We start from the raw sequence: 25,505 nt of genomic DNA, 5'->3' as shown, positions 1-25,505 counted from the left end.
AGGGCTTTAGGAGTCACTTAGTCTAACCTACTCACCTAAAACTGAGGCAAAGTACAAAGAGGCTGAGTAATATGCCAAAAGTCCTAGAGCTAGTTAAATGGCAGAAATGATAAGAATGCAGAATTGTGGTTTCCAAACCAGCACTCTTTCTAAGAATTATGATGTCCTGTTCTAAGTCCTTAAAAGAGAAATGAAATGTCCCGTTAAGATTTTAGATGAAAGTTAATTTGGGGCTAGACAAAGCTGGCTGCTAAAAATAATTTTTTAAATTTAAAACAAGATTTTACACAGTACCAGCAATTCAAATTCAAATGTATTTCTGGTGAGCAGATCGAGTGGCAAAGGTGAAGTATAATTCTTTCTTAATAGATAGTAGCATAGGCTAATTTGAAAATAAGAATTTTATTAGTACCCGTTATAAACAAGAGACCATTTATATCTAACTACAGAGTTTAGGTATATATAGTATAGTCTCAGTCCCGTATTTGCTCATAAGTTATGTTACTTTTAAGAATGTATGTTAGTCTTGCCACATATTTTACCTCCTAGATAGCATGTGCTTTACTGATAAGAATGATCAAGAAAAACTGCCATTAATAAGTACCATTAATTGAGTTATTTTTAATAGCATTACTTTTAACATTCCATGGCCAATATTTCAAGTATCCAAGTTTACAAAATAACAAAAATATCATAAACACATGTGAAAATATTTGTCCAGCTGTTCTATTAATCTAGTGAGAAGTAAACCTGACTTATCTTTTTACTGTGCTTCATTATTTTACATCATATCAGTCACAAACTCGAGTATAACATTTACACCTCATGTTCTTACAATTTTGCCCCTTTAATCACTACTGGGTTTTTTTCAGTCCTCCCAAGGGCTTTTTAAATGTGTCTGACACCTGCCTGGTGCTTTTAGTTATTACAATTCAAATGAAGTTTTTATAAGTTCTAAAGTGTCTGGGGAAGGCACGTTAACCTAAGTGTTAACTATGGTTAAATGTTATGGAATATGCTCATAAAAATCCAAACTCACATAAGATAGAATTACATATATGTAATGTGAGTAAAGGAACTTGAAAATTAATAAAAAGTACAGTATCAGCACATACAGAAGGCCATTCTGGGAAAGCACTTCAAAGAGTTTGAAAATAGGTTTTAATTACTAGGCAAGAATGCTGTGGGCAAGTAAAAACCCTGAAATGCAAGAGGGGCTGGCAGGGAAGAGAACAGAATTCGAGCTGTTCCTCTCATAAAGTATAATACAATCCTTCCCCAAATTCATTCATTCTATTCAGGAAAAAGAAAAATGACACATTTCTTCAGAACTTACATTGCAGGGACCATGCTGGCTACAATTAGGCAAGTTGTAAAATGTGTATTTACACATATTTACATGCCCATGAAATCCCCTTCTGCTATTAATGACTACTTTTGTCACTCTCAGTCTCCTTTGCTGACTTGTCTGCAGAATCTCAAACACTGATTTCCAATTTCCACATTTTCATCTCAATTTCCATATTTTCATCTCTCGAAATAATCATCCTCTTGAGCTACAAATCCATATATACAACTGCCTTTAGGACATATTCAACATTTTGTCCCAAAGGCTTTTCAAACTCAACACTGGTATTTTCTCTCTCACCTCCAACCTGTTTCTCCTTTTCTCCCTGGAGTTAGGATACTTCCATCTGCCAGTCATTGACAGTAAAAATTTTTATCACCTTTGACTGCTTTTCTTTCTCATTTCTCACATACAATCAACAACCAAGAGCTGCAGATTCTGTTAACTGTTTCTTCATGTTAGTTGTTGAGTCAAATATCTCTCCCACTAAATAATGAGTTGATACATAACGAGGAGCCCATCTAATATATCTTTGTTTACTATGCACAGTGCCTGACACACAGAAGGTGTTATTTTTGCTATTCCAATTGTAAAACTTTTACAAATATTTTTAAAAGTATTACAGACATGACATTGTAATATTTATTTCACCTCTAAATTTCATTCAAAAAGGAATTGAGATAGAAAGAAAAAACTAGTTTCTCTACATCAGCTAATTTATCCATGAATAAAAAATTAAACCCAACAATAAAATGTGCTTATTTTTAAACTTCTTATAAGTTTAAAATTATCCTTTTTCTTATAAAATTCCTTATAAAATTATCCTTCTTTTTCTAAATCTCTCTAGGTCTTCTTAGATTCCAAATGCTAAAGGTTTTGTTATAGTTCTTATTGTCATTTTCTGCTTTTAGATAAATGTTATTTATGGAATATTTTCACATCAAGACTTTTTTTTATATATCAGCTTTATCAACTGATAAAAGCCCAACTCAAAAAAAATAACATATATATAGTCTTAACATATGATGCCACAACTTTAACATAGTATACTGTACAAATAATGACAAATGTAAGTAAATCTGATCTAACTTCTTCATAACCTTGTAAAACTGACAATGGCACAATAACTATTCCACTTGTCCCAAGAATAACAGGTTACTATTAGTTATTCCCTAATAGTCATTCAAACAGGGATAAAACTAAGTATATGTCTTTGTTTAATATTGATGTTAATAACTGCCGATTTAAGCAAATAAGGCACATAATACAACACTATTTGCTGAAGTCAAGGGAATTTTTAAAGTTAAAAAAAAACAAAACTCTAAAGGAAATTAAATAGAAACTCAAAAGGTTTCAGACTCTAGATGAGCCCAAACAGTAATAAACCTATAGAAGGAGAATACAGACTTAGGATCCACAAAAGGCATGAAATGACATAGTTCCTGGTGAGACTAAACTGGAAGCTGCACCCAAGGTGAAAGAAAAAATAACCAAAACACTAAGAGAAAGAGTTCTTTATAGTGTTGGGGTCTGGGTTTGGGGCCAGAACTAACACACACCTTTATAGGCTTCAACTGAGAAGTGCAGTGAAACAGGCAAGTTCAGGGCAGCCCCAAACCCAGGTTCCCCAGCCAAGTTCCTCTCAGGGCTTTTCCCAGTAACTTTCCACTATCATTATGGGCAGGGGGACTATGAATAGGAGAGGTCATCAAAGCCCTCACCCATGAAATCCACAATCTTCTTCATGACTCTTCTTTGCCTTACTCCATGCATCCTGTTCACTGCAGTACAGAACTCAGAGTTAGCCTTTTAAACTTCAATTACTTCATCTACAATATGCCCAGATCTATTATACTGACCTCAAAATTTATTTAAATATATTTTATTTTTTAGCAAAGTTTAAGATTTACAGAAGAATTGAGCAGATAGTACAAACAGCTCGCATATGCCCACCCACCCATGTACACTGTTGCCCTTATTATTACTATCTCATATTAGCATGGTATATTTGTTACAATCAGTGAACCCAGATTGAGATATTATTATTAAACTAAAGACCATAGTTATTCAGATTTCCTTAATTTTTCCCTAATGTCCTTTTTTTTTTTTTCATTCCAGCATCCTACACAGGATATTGTAACATTACATTTAGCTATCATGCTTCCTTGGGTACTGTCTTGGTGGTGACAGTTTCTCAAACTTTCCTTGTTTTTGATAACCTTCACAGTTTTGAGGAGTACTAGTCAGTGATTTTACAGAATGTCTTTTAACGTGGGTTTGCCTAAAATTTTTCTCATGGTTGGAGAGGGGTTATGAGCACTCAGGAGGAAGACAACAGAAGTAAAGTGCTATTATCACCACATTATCCAAGGGTATATATAGTCATTTATCAGTTATCTACGGGAACTGGTTCCAGGACCACTGTGAATACCAAAATGCACACATACTCAAGTCCTGTAGTCAGCCTGTGGAATCTGAGGACACATAGTTAGCCCTCCTTATTTGGGAGTTTCCATATACCACAAATATTATATTTTCAATCTGTGTTTGGTTGTGGAACCTACAATAAGGAAGGGCAACTATACTGAAAAAAAAATGTATTAAAAAAATGTGTTGTTCAAAGCATCAACTGTACTGTCAACATGACTTATCACTGAAGATGTTAACCTTGATCATCTGGCTGTGGCACGGCTTGTCAGGTTTCACCATTGTACAGTAGCTCTTCCCCTCCCCTCTTTTGATATTAAATTCTTTGGAAAGAAGCCCACACTCAAGGAGTGGGGAGTTATGCCCCCCAAAAACTTTTTCATTTGCCTTTTTAAGCATAATGCTCCCCAAAGCTTATAATGTACAAATGTTATACTTTTCTGGATGAAAAAAATGAGACTTACAGAACTTGCTTAAGGCTGCAAAACTAAAAAGTGCTAAGGTTAGGAAGTAAATCCAAGCAATGTGAATCCCAGCTTAGTGTTCTTTTCATCGTGACATACTCAATATCAAGGGCACAAATTATATACTAACAGGTAAATTTTAAGCTCCCCATTATCCCACCATCAGTCTTTTTCCAGGCACTTCTATTTCATTGAACAGTTTCCTGTATCTTTGGCTGTGATTGCCCTTTCCTATTAACTTTTACTCCTAGACCAAAGCCATGTTATTTTTCTGTTTTCTTTGTCCTAGAGAAACAAAATTATTTTTCAAACCAGTTCCCAGAAACATCTTTCCACTTCTCTAAACCTACCCTACAGAAACTACTTAAACTATCTTCCCTGGTAACTTTGTGTAATTAATGAAAAAAGCCATTGGACACTAGTTCTATTTTTTTAAAAAAAACAAAAAGGGAAATGGAAGAGCATATATATAATACAGTGGTTAAGAGCTCAGACTCTTGAGTCAGAAAGTTCTGAGACTAAATTTCAGTGCCATCACTACCACTTAGACCTTCGAAAAGTCACTTAACCTTCTTAAAATCATTATCCTTATTTGTAATCTTAAAGCATTCTGTAATTAAAAGAGCTATGCAGCTTCCCATGCAAAAATTAAAAAACAGAAGCCTAAAGATGAATTTGGAATTTTTAAATTTCAGATTATCTTGTACCTTTGATAAGAGAATATTAATATATCTAGTTAAATGACAAATAGTAATTACAGATGCTCCTTGATTTACAAGGGGGTTATGTCCTGATAAACTCATCAAAAATTGAAAATATCCTAAGTCATAAAGCATTGAATACTCCTAACCTACTGAACATCATATTTTAGATCAGCCCACCTTAAACATGCTCAGAATGCTTACACTGGCCTACAGTTGGAAAAAGTGACGTGGCAACACAGTACATTCTAGAATGTTGGCTGTGTACACTCATGATCACAATGGCTGACCGGGAGCTGTGGCTCACTGTTACTGCCAGGCATCATGAGGGAGTACTGTACTGCATATCACTAGCTCAGTAAAAGATTAAAATTTGGGCCTGGCGTGGTGGCTTATACCTGTAATCCCAGCACTTTGGGAGGCCAAGGCGGGTGGATCACAAGGTCGGGAGTCCGACACCAGCCTGGCCTACATGGTGAAACCCCGTCTCTACTAAAAATACAAAAATTAGTCGGGCATAGTCGTGGATGCCTGTAACCCCAGATACTTGGGAGCCTGTAACCCCAGATACTTGGGAGGCTGAGGCAGAGAATTGCTTGAACCCGGGAGGCAGAGGTTGCAGTGAGCCGAGATCGCGCCACTGCATTCCAGCCTGGGCGACAGAGTGAGACTTTGTCTCAGAGGAAAAAAAAAAGGATTAAAATTCGAAGTATAATTTCCACAGAGTGCATATCACTTTCACACCATTGTAAAGTCGAAAACTTAAGTAAATCCATCTTAAATTGGGGAGCACCTGTACTCTGAATTGTGCACTACTTTGAATAAACCACAGGTTTTTCTGGAAATGAAATCTATTTTATACAATTCCTCTCTGAGACAAGTATAGAGAAGAAAATTTCCCAAAAAGTCAAGGATATACTAAGCTCATTACATTCCTGTATTTACCAGAATAATTATTTGCTGAAAATCCCTGTCAAAGACCTAACCACATTTCTTGCAGAATTAGTGACAGTTCTTCATATAGTAAAGCAATGCAGCTATCCCAGGGCAATTAATCTATTGTAGCACTCCAGACAAAAGCAAGAGAGAAGCAGAAAGGAAATTTCAACTGGAAAGTATTTTACGTAACTGTCCCAGATAACAAACTAAACTTACACAGTATGTCAAATGTCACAATCTACACAAAAACACATATATATGCCAGAGGGCATTAAGAGCTCACACAAGCCAAGCTGAAGTCTCCACCCTGAGTACAGTACGTATCTTTTAATCCCTGTTCAGAAAAGATGCATAGAGGAAGCTAAAAGGTTCTTTCATAAACTTAGAGGAAGAAGTGTAAGTCTATCAAAATATCTTGAAGATTAAAAGTAGTAACTACCATTGTGAAAAGTGATAGGGAGTTTTTCCTTTCAATCTGTTTAAAATACTTGTGTTTCCTAACTGGCTAGAGAATTCTAGTGTATGTCTACTTTTTCTGATCACTTTCAAAATGTGTAAGATTTGTTATTTCAAAATTTCAAACTAACTTTTAACACTTAAAGCTTGTAGAAAACAAATATATAGGTTGAAACCAAACATTTGGGTTGAACAAAAGTTGCCAAGTTTTTTAAACAGGAAGTTAAAATTAAACAGAACAGGACCAGGTGCAGTGACTCACGCCTGTAATCCTAGCACTTTGGGAGGGTGAGGCGGGCAAATTGCCTGAGCTCAGGAGTTCGAGACCAGCCTGGGCAACATGGTGAAACCCTGTCTCTACTAAAAATACAAAAAATTAGCTGGGCGTTGGGGTGCTTGCCTGTTATCCCAGCTACTCGGGAGGCTGAGGCACAAGAATCTCTTGAACCTGGGAGGTGGGAACTGCGGTGAGCTGAGATCGTGCCACTGCACTCCAGCCTGGGCGATAGAACAAGACTCTGTCTCAAAAAAAAAGAGAACAGAGTATGAATTCCCAACTTCTTTGGCTCCATTTTCTCATACATAAGCTGTATGGTATTGTTACTTTAAAACTTTCCTCACAAACACTGAATAGATGAAAATAAAAGGACCAATGAAAATGCTAGTAGAAGACAAATTATTTTCATATTCCCAACTTTGTATTTAAAAAAATTTTAAACCTATAGGAGAGTTGAACGAATAGTACATGTTGAGTATCCCTAAATCTAAAAATCCAAAATGCTCCAAAATTCAAAACGTTTTGAGCTCCAACATGACACTCAAAGAAAATGCCCACTTTAGCATTTTAGATTCCAAATTTTCAGATTAGGGATGCTCAACTGGGAAGTATAATGCAAATATTTCAAAATGCAAAAAAATTCAAAATCTAAACACTTCAGGTCCAAAGCATTTTGATAAGGGATATTCAATTTGAAAAATAAAAACCCATCATTCATTAAGTATATCCTCCATACAGATTCAAAAATTGAATAATACTGTCGAACCACACTAAATTCTAAACTGAATAAAAATCCACACTAAATCAAAATTAGTAACTAGGACATGTAATAATCTCTGAGTTATGAACTCAATTGATGAAGATAATTTGTTAACATCATGTGGCTTTTCTGTCTGTGACCTAAAAATCTAATGAAAAAGCTCAAATAAATGAATGTGTGCCTGGTTATTTTATATAGCAGTGTACAAAGTTAAACCTTTCAAAGAATCATTTACAATTTCCTCATAGTGAAAAAAAGACTAAAAATGAAATTGTCTAAGGTTATGAAATGTTTATGTTCAAAAAAGATAATAAATATATTTCTAAGTAATTCTAGGATAGTCCAGAAAGCAGTCTTAGTAGTATCTAAAATTATTACCTTGGATCACAGAAAAAGTAAGATACTAGTTTGTAAGAAAATAAGTGTGCTCTTAAGAGTTAAGTCGAAAACTTATCTGATGAGGACTTCGCTCACAGGTTCTTAAATAAATTTTAGATTTCCAGTAGACAAGAAAAATTCTAATACTATGAATATACAATTGTAGAATATACAAGGTAAGAACAGAAAAAATGGAGATGAGAGTAAAAAGACTAGAAAATGCCAGTAAACACAGCCATCCCCATTACCACATGATAAAAGGACAAGGACCAAGGAGAAATCAAGTTGTCCTGGGAAGTGACAAAATCACTCATTACTTCAACCCTTAAAACCGCAACCTTTGCTGTGTTGCAGCAGCTCACTCCTATAATCCCAGCACTTTGGGAGGGTAAGGTGGGAGGGCTGCTTGAGGCCAGGAGTTTGAGACCAGCCTGGGCAACACAGTGAGACCCTGTCTCTACAAAAATGTTAAAAAGTTAGCTGGTGTGATGGCTCACACCTGTAGTCCTAGCTGCTCAGGAGGCTGAGGCAGAAGAATAGCTTGAGCCCAGGAATTTGAGGTTACAGTGAGCTATAATCACACCACTATACTTCAGCCTAGGCCACAGAGTGAGACCATGTCTCAAAAAAATAACAAATAAACCTGAAACCTTTAAAACTGTAGTTGTGATTCCCCATAAGTGATCATGCTGTAAATGGTCTCCTCCCCCATCTTTACTCTCCAATATCTTCCAGAAAATAAAAAATATGTTGAAGATACTGATTCTTAAAGAACAAACAGCTTAATCACACCTAAGTATCATTCTATAAAAATCTTAAGTAAAGCCAAAAGTTGACAAACTACTCTGAAGTTTTGTGCTTTCAAACTGCCAATGATTTCAATGTTCTAAGACAGAAAATGCATTCTGGGCCAGACGCAGTCGCTCACGCCTGTAATCCCAGCACTTTGGGAGGCCGAGGCAGGCGGATCATGAGGTCAGGAGATCAAGACCACAGTGAAACCTGTCTCTACTAAAAATACAAAAAATTTGCCAGGCACCTGTAGTCCCAGCTATTCGGGAGGCTGAGGCAGGAGAATGGCATGAACCTGGGAGGCGGAGCTTGCAGTGAGCCAAGATCACGCTAAAGAAAATGCATTCTGTTATGTAAAAAATTCCCTGGTAATATCAAAACAGATGATCATGTGCCTTTTCTGAAATGAATTGATAGTTAATCTATTTAGGTATATATTTTTGTGATACAGTCCACAGAAATGGATTTACAGTTTTATATGTGTGGATTAAGTATCTGGATATATCATAATGTTACATAAAATTAATATCTGGTCCTAAAGTAAGTGTACAACTACATATCATGAAAGATTATCTATCCCAGTTAATCGGGGCGAAGCAATGAACAAATAAAATGTGTGTGTGGTTCAGAATAAAAACAATGCACATATACTTTCTGAATGGAAAAGTATTTTTAAAGAATTTAGTGTACCATAACAAGTGTCTTGTTCATTTGAAAATTCTAGGTATGTAAATATTGAATTCACTGTCATGTTTATCTTTAAGTCCTGGTTAAGCAAAAGTCTATAATTAAAAATGTAGAAACAAACAAAAAAAAAGATTAGCTTCTGTTACACATGGATATAAGAAATACCAGAATCAAGAAACTAAATAAAGCAGTCTTCCCAATGTCTACCATGATTTGCTGATTACATGCACGAATTTATTTCTTATCACTCATCTCCCTATATTATATTGCCATCAACATCAAATAAAAAAAAAAGAATCACTGCTCCTTAAGATGCCTTTATTCGTTCTCCTAAAGGTAGGAGTCAGAGAATGGGGGTTGGGGGAGGCCAAGAGAGAGTAGCGATTAAAAAATTTAACACCCTACCTTTATAGCTAGAAAATTCAGTCCACTCTCATTGGCCAAAGCCTTTGCTATCATTGTTTTAGAGCACCCAGGTGGCCCATAGAGAAGAACTCCTTTAGGTGGCTGAATACCCATTCGAATGAAAGACTCTGGATGTTTTAAGGGCCATTCCACAGCCTGTTCCAACTTCAGTTTGATACTTTCCAGTCCTCCTATATCTGACCAGGATACCTGAAAAATAGAACATTTTCCAAATATAAGTTTTGCCAGGACAAACAGAGAACTAAAAAAAAATAAAAAACATATCATTAACAGAAGAACTGCAAAAAAGAATAGAACCATTTAAGAATCAGGAAAATCCTTTAAAAAATTCCAAGAATAACAAGAAGTAAATTAGGAGTACATAAAATGTGAACTGCATATTGTAAAAATACTAAAAAAAAAAAAATTCTGCTTGTAAGTCTCATATAAATAACTGTTTAAATGATTGAGCATATCGTAAAATCTAACCTTCTAGAAAGATTTAGAAGTTACGTTTCATCTGTCTGAAAGTGGTTTGAGTCAAGTCATCCAAGGTCTCATCTATATATCTAATTTCTTATACCTGTTTTTTAGCAAAACTACTTCCAAGCATATTTTTGTAGATCTTTATAGAACACACAATCATTTTTATCTTTAGCATATAAAGTATCCCCAAGGTTTTATTTTTCTCAACTAAGAAATACCCCCAGAACAAGACAGCTCTTTATATGTCTTAAGAATATACGTGTACCAGAAAACGTACACAAGAAATAGAATAATGAGACAGGAATCCATGCGTTAAAGAACTAACTATAACAACCAGTAACCATGAACAACCACAGTTCAACAGAAAGGATACTAAGTACAATAACAAACTGAAAAGGCCATTGGGAGTTCCCAGGAAGAAAAGACTACTTCTAGCTGGAAGACAAACGTAAAAGCCAACTCTCGAAGGATAGATGAGATTTGGAAATGCAAGAACAGGGAAATGGCTAGGTACAGGCCAAAAAGTGACAGAAAGCTCAGAAGGAAAGAAGTATAAAAAGGAAAAGAGAAAAAATATTTGAGGGAGGGAAATAAAGAAAAGTTGAAGTCATAGCATAGGGCCCTGAAGACCAGAGGAAGGAATTCAAGAGAATTCTTTGTACATTCTTGGAAGTCTTTGAAGTTTTTTAATCTAGAAAGCAATATGGTCTGAAATGTCCTTCTGGAAGATTTCTCTGACAAGATTCATCAGAGAGATCAATTAATGACATAAATATCAGAAAAAAAAACACACCTTGAGCTAGAGTAAACACATGCAGATACTGAAAACTCACTGGAAGGATACTTCAGAGCTATAATTGTGGGTTCTGGGAGTAGAAAAAGAAACAGGAAAAACTTAAAGCTACATTTGGAGAGGGGTGGTGAAACAAAATGGTATCTAGGGTAATATTCAGGATTCAGACTCGGACAAATGAGTAATTAAAAGTTACATGAAAAGAAATAAGGGAACATGTTTGGGAACTAAGGAATATGATGCATAAGGTGTCAACTGGGACTTGAATATAGTAGAAAAATATGGACTATGTGATGACTAATCAATCTATATGAATGGAAAGATTGGGGTCTGAGTGATGCATTCTCTATCCTTAATTTCTTTACAAGTATGTATAGACCCCATGTTGTAACGAATACTCCACCATAAATATAAATCCTTAACAAAAGTATTTCTTAGAGCACGTAAGGTCTCACACATAAAGTATATTACTCATATTGCTTTATAACATAAGTACAGTACAAATTTAAAAAACCACTTTCACTCTTCAAAATACCGCAGAAATCAACTCAATTCTGTTGTACAAATAATCCATATAACTTAAGCTAAACCAAGCTTGGCCAACCTTCAGTCCAACACAAATTGGTAAAGTCTGTTAAAATATTATGAGATTTTTTTGCAATTTTTTTTAGCTCATCACCTATCGTTCGTGTTAGTATTTTTTTTTAGTTCTATATGATTTTATTTAAAAATGTGTACAGCTGAAGGAGGGATCTGATCTTTTGTTAAAAGAAACCAATTTTCACAGTATATATTTGGCCACTTAAGCTTTGTAGTGAATAATAACAGAAAAGGAAGTTTCTGTTCAAATCCTCACTCCAGCACACTCAGCCAGGTGCTTGGCAAGATGACACATTTCCTGGTCTGAGGCTCACAGCCAACCCTCTCACCCAAGTGGAACACCAATCAATTCTCCTCCAGACAGACAGACAGACACACATACACACACACACACACACACACACACACACATACACATACACGAGGTCTTATTTTTACTGCTCTACACAGGGCCCTGAGAATCCTTAATTTTAAAGTTGGGAAAAACGTGAAAGGATTCCTTAACTCATTGTCTGTGACAAATCCAACTACCTTTTAACTCTTAACCATTGCCAAGTATAAAATACTTGAAATTTACGAGATGCTCCATTTAATGGGACAACTCAAATGCTATAAAATTAGGTCAAGTAACATGCTTTAATATTTTTAAATGTTACTTAAAACTTAATGAGACAAGATATGCAGCACATTCTTGGTATTATAAACTCCTACTGACAACTGCTGCTTGATGGTCAAAAACTTTTAAAAAAGAGAAGAAACCATACATATTGGTATACAACAACGTTTGCAGGGAATGTCATGTTTTACATTTTGTTAACTGAAATTGAACCTGACAAAAAAACCAAAGGTCTACAAAACCGACACCCATGTCATTTTAAATGATGAGGTAGATTGTTTCCTATGCAGTAAAGTGAAGATAACAAAAAAACCCATACAACTTTCAAATCCTCTTAAAAAAAAAAAGTTCAAGTTATAGTCACTTTCACAAACAAGACATTCATAAACTATAAGATGGAGCGGTCATATTCAGACAGGTTCTGTACTTGATGTGTTAATCGGAGATTCAATAATCAGTCTTGGATCAATCAACTCTCCCCAAAATACAGTGATCTTGCTCTCCTGCATCACAGCATACTCCACTACCTCGGTTCCATTTTCAATGTGATAAACCAAATCAAATTTCCCAGGTTCTCTCAAGGCAGGTAAGGATGAAAGAATTTCTGTATCTACTTGCTGTGTCTCTGGATTGTGGCTTAATATTTTTCCTTGTAATCAGAGACAACAGAAGAGTGTAACTGGATGTTAGTTCCAAAGATTAAATGCAATCTTTTCTCCAACTTGAGGGGCAGCTGTTAACAGCGGTAACAGACCATACAGTCCTTCTAGTGTGTCTCTACCGGATTCTGGAAAACAGTAGATGAATTTGTTACCACTTTATTTAATTGCTGTTGTCTCTGGTTGTCAGTGCTTCTATTTACAACACAGGAAACAGGATGCCCTTGTCCTCGACCTCTCCCCCGCATTCCCCGTCCCCTAGCTCCCTTCCAAGAAAAAAGGTTCTCTCCTCTACCCCATCCTCTTTCTAAACTGGGGAGAGACACACTGGGAGAAGGACCAGGAGCCTGTCTGCCACCATTTAACCCAGAACGCTTCCATCCAGTAGCACCTGCAGTCTGTGATGACAGCCCAGGGCCTGGACAACCTCTTCCTGCAAAAAGGCCTACTGTCTTTTAGAAATCCACAGCACACTCCGGGGTGCTCGATGACATCAAGCATTCACCTCTGACTCTGAACCAGAATCTGAACTAGAAGATGATGTTCCAGAGGTCTTGCCCTTGCTGGGGGTTAAGGCTAAAGCCAGATTTTGTAGCCAGTTTGTCTGCAGTTGTACTTTTGGTAGAGGGTCCTTCCTTTGATTACTTAGTTGGTAATTTCTCTGAGGAATTTCTGGCCTCCAAAGTGACTTTGCTGGGACCATCATGATTGATTCATGACAAGACTCAGACTCCGAGGAGGAACTGGGACTCTCGTTTGAGCAAACGCTTACACCACCTTTCCTTTTGGTTTTAACAAGGCTGTTTCTAGCAGAGCCTTTTGGAGAACTACATCTCTAATTGGCCCAGTCTTTTACTGCCTGTACTTTAGGTGACTTGGGATTCCTGGCCTTTTTTTCATATTCACATTTCTCCTTTTTCTTTGGTGATTTTTTTTTGGGGGGTCTGTTCGTTATCATCACCCGTTGTGCCACAGGTTGCTTTATTTTTTCTTTTGTTTCTTTTTTTTTTTTTTGCTTATAGTCTGATCTGTGACCGCTTTTCGTTCTAGATCCAAGACCTTCTCATTATTGTTATTGTACTCTTGCTTCTTCCAATGCTTCTTTGAATAGTTGTAATCTGGGTTAGTTTCTTCATCCTCCTCTAACTTAAATGCCCACTTCATTGCTTTTCTAAGTGATAAATGAGTACTGTCACCATTACTGATGACTACAGAATTCTCAGCAACTCCTCTCTCTTCTAATTTAACTCTGAGGCAGTCATTGTCTCTCATCAGGCATGCGCTCTCGGTGGGGGGCAGGAACCCCTGCTCCAGGTAGAGGCCTCGGAGGGCCCCCAGAACGGAAGCCAAATCGCTGGCGGATGAGACTAATGAGATCTGTGACAACTCGGCGCCTGTTCAAGTCAACCAGAAGCCAGGAAGGCCGTACAGTGCAGGGTAGCTGGCAGTGGGTAATCATATTGAAGCTGTAGCCTAACCGGCTCGGAGGCTGCCATCTTGCTCGGAGCCCGTGTTAGTATATTTTATGTGTGGCCCGAGACGATAATTCTTCCAATGTGGACAAGAGAAGCCAGAAGATTGGACAACTCTGAGCAAGACTGAATTTATATGACTATCAAGGCCTGTGTGGAAAAGGTAAATAATTTATTAAAATGTGCAACTCTCAAGATGTTTTTGCATGCCAACTCTCCTAGTGACAATGGCAAAGAAAGAGTTAGAAGGAAATATTATAGGTATAGGATACTCAGTTTCACTTCTGCATTTCATTACTAACTGGTGGAGGAAGTTCTTTCTCTCAATTTAGGAATCTCCAATCATAATAAACAAATATTCTACAGGCATTTCATTATTATTTTTTTCTTTTTTATTTGAACTTTTATTTTAGATTCAAGGAGTACATATGCAGTTTGTTACACAAGTATATTGTGTGACGCTGAGGTTTGGATTACAGTTGAACCCCTCACCCAGGTAGTGATCATGGGACTTCATCAAAGAGTTCTGAAAGGAGTTTTAACCCTTTTTTTTCCTTCCTTTTATTATTATTATTATCATTATTATTATACTTTAAGTTTTAGGGTACATGTGCACAATGTGCAGGTTAGTTACATATGTATACATGTGCCATGCTGGTGTGCTGCACCCATTAACTCATCATTTAGCATTAGGTATATCTCCTAATGCTATCCCTCCCCCCTCCCCCAACCCCACAACAGTCCCCAGTGTGTGATGTTCCCCTTCCTGTGTCCATGTGTTCTCATTGTTCAATTCCCATCTATGAGTGAGAACATGCGGTGTTTGGTTTTTTGTCCTTGAGATAGTTTACTGCGAATGATGATTTCCAATTTCATCCATGTCCCTACAAAGGACATGAACTCATCATTTTTTATGGCTGCATAGTATTCCATGGTGTATATGTGCCACATTTTCTTAATCCTGTCTATCATTGTTGGACATTTGGGTTGGTTCCAAGTTTTTGCTATTGTGAATAGTGCCACAATAAACATACGTGTGCATGTGTCTTTATAGCAGCATGATTTATAGTCCTTTGGGTATATACCCAGTAATGGGATGGCTGGGTCAAATGGTATTTCTAGTTCTAGATCCCTGAGGAATCGCCACACTGACTTCCACAATGGTTGAACTAGTTTACAGTCCCACCAACAGTGTAAAAGTGTTCCTATTTCTCCACATCCTCTCCAGCACCTGTTGTTTCCTGACTTTTTAATGATTGCCATTCTAACTGGTGTGAGATGGTATCTCATTGTGGTTTTGATTTGCATTTCTCTGATGGCCAGTGATGATGACCATTTTTTCATGTGTCTTTTGGCTGCATAAATGTCTTCTTTTGAGAAGTGTCTGTTCATATCCTTTGCCCACTTTTTGATGGGGTTGTTTGTTTTCTTGTAAATTTGTTTGGGTTCATTGTAGATTCTGGATATTAGTCCTTTGTCAGATGAGTAGGTTGCGAAAATTTTCTCCCATTCTGTAGGTTGCCTGTTCACTCTGATGGTAGTTTCTTTTGCTGTGCAGAAGCTCTTTAGTTTAATTAGATCCCATTTGTCAATTTTGGCTTTTGTTGCCATTGCTTTCGGTGTTTTAGACATGAAGTCCTTACCCATGCCTATGTCCTGAATGGTAATGCCTAGGTTTTCTTCTAGGGTTTTTATGGTTTTAGGTCTAACGTTTAAGTCTTTAATCCATCTTGAATTAATTTTTGTATAAGGCGTAAGGAAGGGATCCAGTTTCAGCTTTCTACATATGGCTAGCCAGTTTTCCCAGCACCATTTATTAAATAGGGAATCCCTTCCCCATTGCTTGTTTTTCTCAGGTTTGTCAAAGATCAGATAGTTGTAGATATGCGGCATTATTTCTGAGGGCTCTGTTCTGTTCCATTGATCTATATCTCTGTTTTGGTACCAGTACCATGCTGTTTTGGTTACTGGCATTCCATTATTATAGAGGTCCCCTCTCCTGGGCTGTTTAGGACTGCTGACTATATGGAGACTTTGTACTACTGGCATTTAACAGAAAAGATTAAAATAAATTAAATGATCTGACTTATTTTGAAGACAGGAAGAAATATAAGAAAATGCTCAAAGAGGAACATTTCTTTGTGGGATAATCTCTCTGTGAGACACACTGAGAGAGCTTTTATTTATTATGGAAGTTCTCTAAAATGTAAATGAAACACATCAATCAAGTGATTCTTATAGTCTATTAAGATCCATGTGTTCGTAGAAGGGCTATCATTAAAGAAGGAGTAGTGGGGTTTAAGAAGAGCAAGGAAGTAGACTTAATGGAAAGCAACACACAGTAACTGAAGTTCTATTTATATCTCAGATGGCAACAGTGAGCTATAAATTTAAGATTCTGGCTTCTTGGTGAAGACTGTTTGTCATGTAATTAGATATACCTTGTTGTCTTCCTAATAGGTAAGAATAAAAATCTTAAAAAGGGAAAAGGTAAAAAAAGAAAAAAAAAAAGCTCAAAGAGTCCATTTCAAAAATCATTAAAATTTTTTTTTAAAAAAAGCTTAAATAACTAGCTTGGGAAAGGTACCGTTACAAGTATGGAATATAAGAGGAAATGGATGATACAAAAAAGAAATGCAAAATCAAACTATGGGGGTAAAAAGCTCAACTCTCTACTAATCAAAGCCAAAACATCCAAATTAAAATAGTGAAAAGCTGTTTTCAGCTTATAAAATTAGCGAAGAGTAAAATATGGACTTCTCAAGGCCAGTGATAGACAATGAGTCAACACTGTCACACACTGGTAGAAGAAAAAAATCGTAATGTTTATTAAATGTACTTGGCAACATATTTTAGAAGTTCATACATTTTACCTAGTAATATTACTTCCTAGACTATCCTCCCAAAACAGTTCAGGAAATACAAAAAGATTTCTTCTTCAAAGATTCATGGCACAACACTCTGTATGACAGAAAATAACCTAGAAACAACCTCAATGCTAAACATCAAACAACTATTAAATGAATTATAGAATACTTAAAGAATGGACAATCATATAGAAATTAAATAAATTTTAGAAGATATTTTATATTTTCTGAAAATTTATGTAATAAAAAAGCAGAATATAAAGATTTTAATACATTATAATCCCAATTAAAACACACACACAGGTCAGGAGTTCAAGACCAGCCTGGCCAACGTGGTGAAACCCCGCCTCTACTAAAAATACAAAAATTAGCCAGGCATAGTGGCCGGCACCTGGAAACTCCGCTACTCGGGAGGCTGAGGCAAGGGAATCACTTGAACCAGGGAGGCGGAGGTTACACTGAGCCGAGATCGCGCCATTGAACTCCAGCCTGAACGCCAAGAGTGAAAGTCCGTCTCAGAAAAAAAAAAAAAACCACATACACATATATGTATTTTCAAAAATTGTTATTTTTAAAGTGATAGGAATACAAGCAATTTCTATATTATCCATAATAATTTTTGGTATTACGAAAATTTTCTACAGTGAAACTGCATTACTTTTATCATTTGACATACTCGTGTGTGTGTCTGTGTGCATGTGTGTGTGTGTGTTTGTGTTTGTATGTATATATAAAAGCATGAGGACAAGGAAGCAGACTAAGATCCTAGAAGCTGTGGTCAAGAAAAAAAGAAAAGCATGACGCAGATGGGGAGTTAAAAGGTTCAGCCAAAAACAAAAACAAAACTAAACAAAAAAAGCCTTGATGGGTGCCCAACGTTGTCAGGGAACCACCCATTCACCTAGTAGAACTAGGTGACAAAGTTAGAGAAATGACTGATTAACAAATCTAGGAAATTTTCTTAACCTAAGTTTCCTTTATTATTACAACTGTAATTCGTTTATTCTTTCCAACTATTGTACTGTGGCTAAAATTTACTACTGAAATAAATTCAATCAATTTTAAGAAATGTCTTCTATGTGCAGGATTTGTCCTAGAGACTGTAGGGGCACAAAGATGAGTGCAATAATGTCCAAAAAATCTGAAATCTAGAAAGAGAAATAAGAAAAGTATCCTAAAAGAGAGTCTCTAAATATATAAAATATCTGTCTTTACACAAATTAATACAAAAGCTACTGAAAAACAGCTTTATAATTCTCAAATAAGACAGTGAAGACAGATTTGAAAATTGCATACATGTAAGATGTCAAGTTTTTAGAATATAAAAATAGCAGCAATTCCCACCTTGTTGATTATGAGAATAGCAGATATAAGAAGTATAGCCTACAAGAAATTATAAAGAAGGATGTAAGAATTATCTGTATGCCAATACCTAAAAGTAATCCTTGTTAATATTTTGGTGTAGGACCTTCTAGCCTCTCCAAATGCAAACACACATGTGTGCATGTGTATGTATGGTTTAACATATTCACAATTTTACATTCTGATTCTTTTTAACTTCATACTTTTTTGATATAGTAAATATCTTCTAAAATTTAGAACTTGGTAAAAAAAAAAATGGTCTTGGGTTCAAATCTCAGACCCAGTACTTACTATGTGACTTTGGGTAATTTACTTCAACTCTCTAAACTTTTTCCTCTTCTATAATATGGGGATAATAAACCCTAAGGTCTCAGGATCACTGTGAGAATTAAACAGGAGAGCATATGTTAAATTAATTGTACTTTGCCTGGCATGTGGTAAATATTTAATAAATACTAGATACTTTATTTAAATGTCTGAGAGATGATTATAAAGTTTGTATTCTGGAGGACTACTGAAAAAGATAAGCCATTAAATTATCTTCATTTTTTTTTGTTCTGATCACTTTAAACTAAAGGCAAACCAATTTTGCATTTTGATTTTAGTACCTGAAAGCCAAAAAAATGATAACTCTTTCTATGGCTATGATAATAATTCACAAATAAATATGAATCAGCTTAAAAAGCCTGGCCAACATGGTGAAACCCCATCTCTACTAAAAATACAAAAAAAAAAAAAAATTAGCTGGGCGTGGTGGTGCATGCCAGTAATCCCAGCTACTCAAGAGGCTGAGGCAGGAGACTCGCTTGAACCTGGGAGGCGGAGGTTGCAGTGAGCCAAGAGCATGCCACTACACTCTAGCCTGGGTGACACAGCGAGACTCTGTCTCAAAAAAAAAAAGCTTATTATTACACAGAAGAGTTCTAAAGCATAGGAAGTCATGGGAAAAGTTAGTCTGTAGAGAAGGATAAACACTACCATGAAATCATAAAATCCTAGAACTAGAAGAGGAATTCAAAAGCTAGCTGTTTCACTATCCTACCTTCAGACAGTATATCATCTTTCAACACCTCTCATCTTTCAACAAATAGTACTTTATGCTTAAAATTGTTTTTAATTCTAGAACCTTCTTTTTAATAACTTACAATATATCATAACTACCGTAAAATTATTCCTACAATATAGTCTAAATTATTTTTACAATATAACCTAAATCATTCCTGATAATATTTGCATCCGATCTTATTTTGCCCTAATGAAAACAGTGAACAGCTGCTCACATATGGCTTTATAACTTTTTGAATTAAAGTCAGAAGTGCAAGAACAGCTGTCAAACAAGCACAGAGCAGTGAGATAAATTTCCCAAGGAACATGTCCCTGACAAACATCCTATAGTTAGTTCTTCCTAGCCAAACACCCCAAAACAAAATAAAACAACAACAACAAAAATTCAAACTGTACACCCATAGAAGCCAAGGAACTTGATGATCAGGTTAAAAATAAATAGAAAAAAAAATACTTTTATGGACAAATTCCAAGGCAGCAAAATAAAAATTAATGAACTGAGCTACAGACATTAGAAAAATTACTATGAGAGAGGAATTCCGTAGCTCCAGGGGCACTGACAATGTTTTTATACATCTATGAGTCAAGATCCTCTTGCTTGCTGGGTGCCAAGTTTTTTACCACCAGGGACAAAAATTCTTTTCAAAGTATTATTTTAGAGAAAATGCCATGACATTTTGTTTTTTCATGCTAACAACTCCCAGTGTAAGGACAAGAAGTCAGGCAGTCACAATTGGGCTGGCACCTGTTCCAAATTCTTTGTGGGGTCATACACTAACTTTTCAACAATGTTCAAAAGACACATATTTTGTTTAGAAATCATAAGTGTACCAAATTACTAAAGATACTGCATATTGCAGGAAAAAAAAGGTTGAGAAAACCAACCTCCAAGGTCAAGAACAATTATAAATTTCCAAATGCTTCTTTAATACAGATAAAGCAAGATTAGGAAGCAGTAACTGTTAAAATGTGTTCTTAGATCTAAATGAAAATAAGTAAAAGCCATTAGCTGTATATAGTGAAAAGCAAAAAAAAAAAAAAAAAAAAAAAAAAAAAAAAAATTTCCCATGCTGTAAAGACACATTCTATGAAGATTTAAAGAAAAAAAAAAAAAAAGAAGTCAAAAGTTCCAGTTTCACTATGGTGCCATAAGGCAACTATAGACTCTCTCCCGTTGATTAAAAAGAAAAATGTCAGCTCTCGCTCTCGCTCTCGCTCTCGCTCTCCCTCTCCCTCTCCCTTTCCCTCTCCCCCCTCTCCCTCTCTCTCTCCCTCTCCCTCTCCCTTTCCCTCTCCCCCCTCTCCCTCTCCCCTTCCCTCTCCCCCCTCTCCCTCTCCCCACGGTCTCCCTCTCCCTCTCTTTCCACAGTCTCCCACTGATGCCGAGCCGAAGCTGGACTGTACTGCTGCCATCTCGGCTCACTGCAGCCTCCCTGCCTGATTCTCCTGCCTCAGCCTGCCGAGGGCCTGCGATTGCAGGCGTGCGCCACCACGCCTGACTGGTTTTCGTATTTTTTTGGTGGAGACGGGGTTTCGCTGTGTTGGCCGGGCTGGTCTCCAGCTCCGAACTGCGAGTGATCCGCCAGCCTCGGCGTCCCGAGGTGCCGGGATTGCAGACGGAGTCTGGTTCACTCAGTGCTCAATGGTGCCCAGGCTGGAGTGCAGTGGCGTGATCTCAGCTCGCTACAACCTCCACCTCCCAGCCGCCTGCCTTGGCCTCCCAAAGTGCCAAGATTGCAGCCTCTGCCCGGCCGCCACCCCGTCTGGGAAGTGAGGAGCGTCTCTGCCTGGCCGCCCATCGTCTGGGACGTGAGGAGCCCCTCTGCCTGGCTACCCAGTCTGGAAAGTGAGGAGCGTCTCTGCCCGGCCGCCATCCCATCTAGGAAGTGAGGAGCACCTCTACCCGGCCGCCATCCCATCTAGGAAGTGAGGAGCGTCTCTGCCCAGCCGCCCATCGTCTAAGATGTGGGGAGCGCCTCTGCCCCGCCACCCCGTCTGGGATGTGAGGAGCACCTCTACCCGGCCGCGACCCCGTCTGGGAGGTGAGGAGCGTCTCTGCCCAGCCGCCCTGTCTGAGAAGTGAGGAGACCCTCCGCCTGGCAACCGCCCCATATGAGAAGTGAGGAGCCCCTCCACCCGGCAGCCACCCCGTCTAGGAAGTGAGGGGCGTCTCTGCCCGGCAGCCACCCCATCCGGGAGGGAGGTGGGGGTCAGCCCCTCTGCCCGGCCAGCCGCCCCGTCCGGGAGGGAGGTGGGGGGATCAGCCCCCTGCCCGGCCAGCCGCCCCGTCCGGGAGGGAGGTGGGGGGGTCAGCCCCTCGCCCGGCCAGCCACCCCGTCTGGGAGGTGAGGGGCGCCTCTGCCCGGCCGCCCCTACTGGGAAGTGAGGAGCCCCTCTGCCCGGCCAGCCGCCCCATCCGGGAAGGAAGTGGGGGGGTCAGCCCCCCGCCCAGCCAGCCGCCCCATCCAGGAGGAAGGTAGGGGGGTCAGCCCCCCGCCCGGCCAGCCGCCCCGTCCGGGAGGTGAGGGGCGCCTCTGCCCGGCCGCCCCTACTGGGAAGTGAGGAGCCCCTCTGCCCGGCCAGCCGCCCCGTCCGGGAGGGAGGTGGGGGGGTCAGCCCCCCGCCCGGCCAGCCGCCCCATCCGGGAGGGAGGTGGGGGGGTCAGCCCCCCACCCGAGCCGCCCGGTCCGGGAGGTGAGGGGCACCTCTGCCCGGCCGCCCCTACTGGGAAGTGAGGAGCCCCTCTGCCCAGCCACCACCCCATCTGGGAGGTGTACCCAACAGCTCATTGATAACGGGCCATGATGACAATGGCGGTTTTGTGGAACAGAAAGGGGAGAAAGGCGGGGAAAGGATTGAGAAATCGGATGGTTGCCATGTCTGTGTAGAAAGAGGTAGACACGGGAGACTTTTCATTTTGTTCTGTACTAAGAAAAATTCTTCTGCCTTGTGATCCTGTTGATCGGTGACCCTACCCCCAACCCTGTGCTCTCTGAAACATGTGCTGTGTCCACTCAGGGTTAAATGGAATAATGGTGGTGCAAGATGTGCTTTGTTAAACAGATGCTTGAAGGCAGCATGCTCGTTAAGAGTCATCACCACTCCCTAATCTCAAGTACCCAGGGACACAAACACTGCGGAAGGCCGCAGGGTCCTCTGCATAGGAAAACCAGAGACCTTTGTTCACTTGTTTATCTGCTGACCCTCCCTCCACTATTGTCCTATGACCCTGCCAAATCCCCCTCTGTGAGAAACACCCAAGAATGATCAATTAAAAAAAAAAAAAAAAGAAAGAAAAATGTCAGACAAAATACAAAAATCACTCGAGGACTCTGAAAACCAATGAAAAGCAGACAGATTGTGCAGACAAGTAAAAATGTGAAGTGCTATGCACAGGGTGAGTGGGAAGGGCTGAGTGTTCAAAGAGGTCTTTGCTTCTCTTTTCTCCCAGCCTTTCCCCTCTTTCTGTTTTATTTCCATTTTCCATAAGCAAGCTTAGGTTGAAAACATCTAACAATTTCACAGATGGGAGTACAGAAAGCTAAAAAACTAGATTAGAAAGAATATAAGAAACTATACACCAAAACTGGGCCACTAATTGCTCTTGATTTGTTGGGATTTGTTGCTCTTTAGTAAATAACATTGAGAACCTCACTAAACATATAATAGCTAAGAGGGCCAGATGTTCATAGATGTCATATTTAATAAGTAAAGACATTAAGATGGGAATTAGTCAAGTTTAAAAAATATAGGTATCTGAAAAAAACATGAAAAATATTATCAACTTAAAGGTAATTTTTTTTCAAACTGTATAGATTTCAATAATCAGTTTAATGGTTATATTAAAATCTTAGCTCAATTTCTAAAATATAATTACATTACAATCACACTTAGCACTGTCCTCAGATCTGGCTATGCATGAAGTCAAACCTTATAAATATAATAAATTATCCAAGTAACTTCCCTTAGATTACAAAAATGTATGTCTTAATTCACCTTAAAAATGGTTAACCATTTACACAATGAGCTTTTAAAAAACTACCTACTTTTGTCAGATGAACAAGTATAAGAAAAAAAACTCATAAAAAATGGAAACTTAAAAAAGTAACAAAAATTAAGACTCAGATATGACAACAGCATAAAACTCGCCTACAAAATTCTTCATACATCATGAAAATATTTTGCTTTTTCTAATTTACCAAATTCCTTGAATAACTTCCCTATAATCACCAGCAAATGCTTTGAATATTTAAGAAAACTGCTTAGTAACTCCTGCAATTCTTACCATGGCATAGCAGAACTGGGAAAGATAAAGGAATATGGAAAATATAGAAACTAAAAACAAGGAAACTAAAAACAGAGGGAAGACAGAGGGGATTCTACTGATTGACCCCTAAGCCCAGGAGCTAAGTATATGTTTAACAAGCTTCTTAAGTGAATTTTAAGTCAATCATATGGAATACTACATAACCAAATGACCCAAAACTAGAAGAAATCATTTTTAATAGTAAAAATGTTTAAATGAGTTTTGATTACTTTTCTTGATAATTTGAGGCATGAGTAATTAATAACTAAACTATTTTTTCTATATGTGTGTATGACTAGGACCTTCCTAACATAGTACCTTCTATATTACATATGTTTGGTGCTTGGTAAAGAAATAAATTAATAGGCAGACATATATTTATCTTGTATTATCTTACAAGTAAAACAACAGAAGGGGTAAAAGTGACAGAGGGACAAGCTGGTAGGAGGTTAAGATGGGCAATATAGAAAAAAGTTGGAGATTTGCTGCACCTACCAACCCATCATCTAGGTTTTAAGCCCCACATGCATTAGGTATTTGTCCTAATGCTCTCCCTTCCCTTGCCCCCCAACCCCGACAGGCCCTGGTGTGTGATGTTTCCCTCCCTGTGTCCATGTGTTCTCATTGTTCAACTCCCACTTATGAGTGAGAACATGCAGTGTTTGGTTTTCTGTTCCTGTGTTAGTTTGCTGAGAACCTGCACATTCTGTACACGTATCCTAGAACTTAAAGTAAAATAAAATAAAAATAAAGAAAAAAGTTGGAGAGTTAGTATTAAACCCATACATGTGGTCAGGTGAAAAAGGTTACCAATTGTCAGGCCTCTAAGCCCAAGCTAAGCCATCATATCCCCTGTGACCTGCACCTATATATACATCTAGATGGCCTGAAGTAACTGAAGAATCACAAAAGAAGTGAAAATGGCCTGTTCCTGCCTTAACTGATGACATTACCTTGTGAAATTCCTTCTCCTGGTTCATCCTGGCTCAAAAGCTCCCCCACTGAGCACCCTGTGACCCCCTGACCCCTGCCAGCCAGAGAACAACCCCCTTTGACTATAATTTTCCTTTACCTACCCAAATCCTATAAAACGGCCCCACCCCTATCTCCCTTTGCTGACTCTCTTTTCGGACTCAGCCCGCCGACACCCAGGTGAAATAAACAGCCTTGTTGCTCACACAAAGCCTGTTTGGTGGTGTCTTCACACAGACACGAGTGAAATTTGGTGCCGTGACTCGGATAGGGGGGCCTGCCTTGGGAGATCAGTCCGCTATTCTCCTGCTCTTTGCTCCATGAGAAAGATCCACCTACGACCTCTGGTCCTCAGACTAACCAGCCCAAGGAACATCTCACCAATTTTAAAGTCGGTAAGCGGCCTCTTTACTCTCTTCTCCAACCTCTCTCACTAACCCTCAATCTCTTTCTCCTTTCAATCTTGGTGCCACACTTCAGTCTCGCCCTTGTCTTAATTTCAGTTCCTTTCCTTTTCTGGTAGAGACAAAGGAGATGCGTTTTATCCGTGGACCGAAAACTCCAGCGCCGGTCACAGACTTGAGAAGACAGTCTTCCCTCGGTGTTTAATCACTGCGGGGATGCCTGCCTGATTATTCACCCACATTTCATTGGTGTCTGATCACCGCAGGGA

General features: G+C 38.5%; 1 protein-coding gene and 1 pseudogene across 19 annotated transcripts in view; both read right to left on the bottom strand.

Annotated features, from left to right (window-relative positions):
• The window catches only part of AFG2A (AAA ATPase AFG2A), a 396,356-nt gene that overhangs the window by 281,404 nt on the left and 89,447 nt on the right, over positions 1 to 25,505 (bottom strand). For 17 of the 19 annotated variants that reach the window (XR_007096375.1, XR_007096376.1, NM_001438322.1 and 14 more), the window contains one exon: positions 9,635 to 9,844. Coding sequence is in view for 16 of the 19 variants with exons in the window: in NM_001438322.1 (NP_001425251.1) it covers positions 9,635 to 9,844 (210 nt within the window). In the remaining 3 variants the exon portion in view is untranslated. Of the gene's footprint in view, positions 1 to 9,528; positions 9,845 to 18,780; positions 18,869 to 25,505 lie in introns of those variants that run through there. The other 2 variants (XR_007096377.1, NM_001317799.2) reach the window with 2 other exon arrangements.
• COILP2 (coilin pseudogene 2) lies at positions 11,940 to 14,296 on the bottom strand (annotated as a pseudogene).

Source organism: Homo sapiens, chromosome 4 (genome assembly GCF_000001405.40).
Source record: "Homo sapiens chromosome 4, GRCh38.p14 Primary Assembly".
Lineage (NCBI taxonomy): Eukaryota > Metazoa > Chordata > Mammalia > Primates > Hominidae > Homo > Homo sapiens.
Note: the sequence above shows the minus strand (reverse complement) of the source record. Positions and strands in the feature narration are given on the sequence as shown.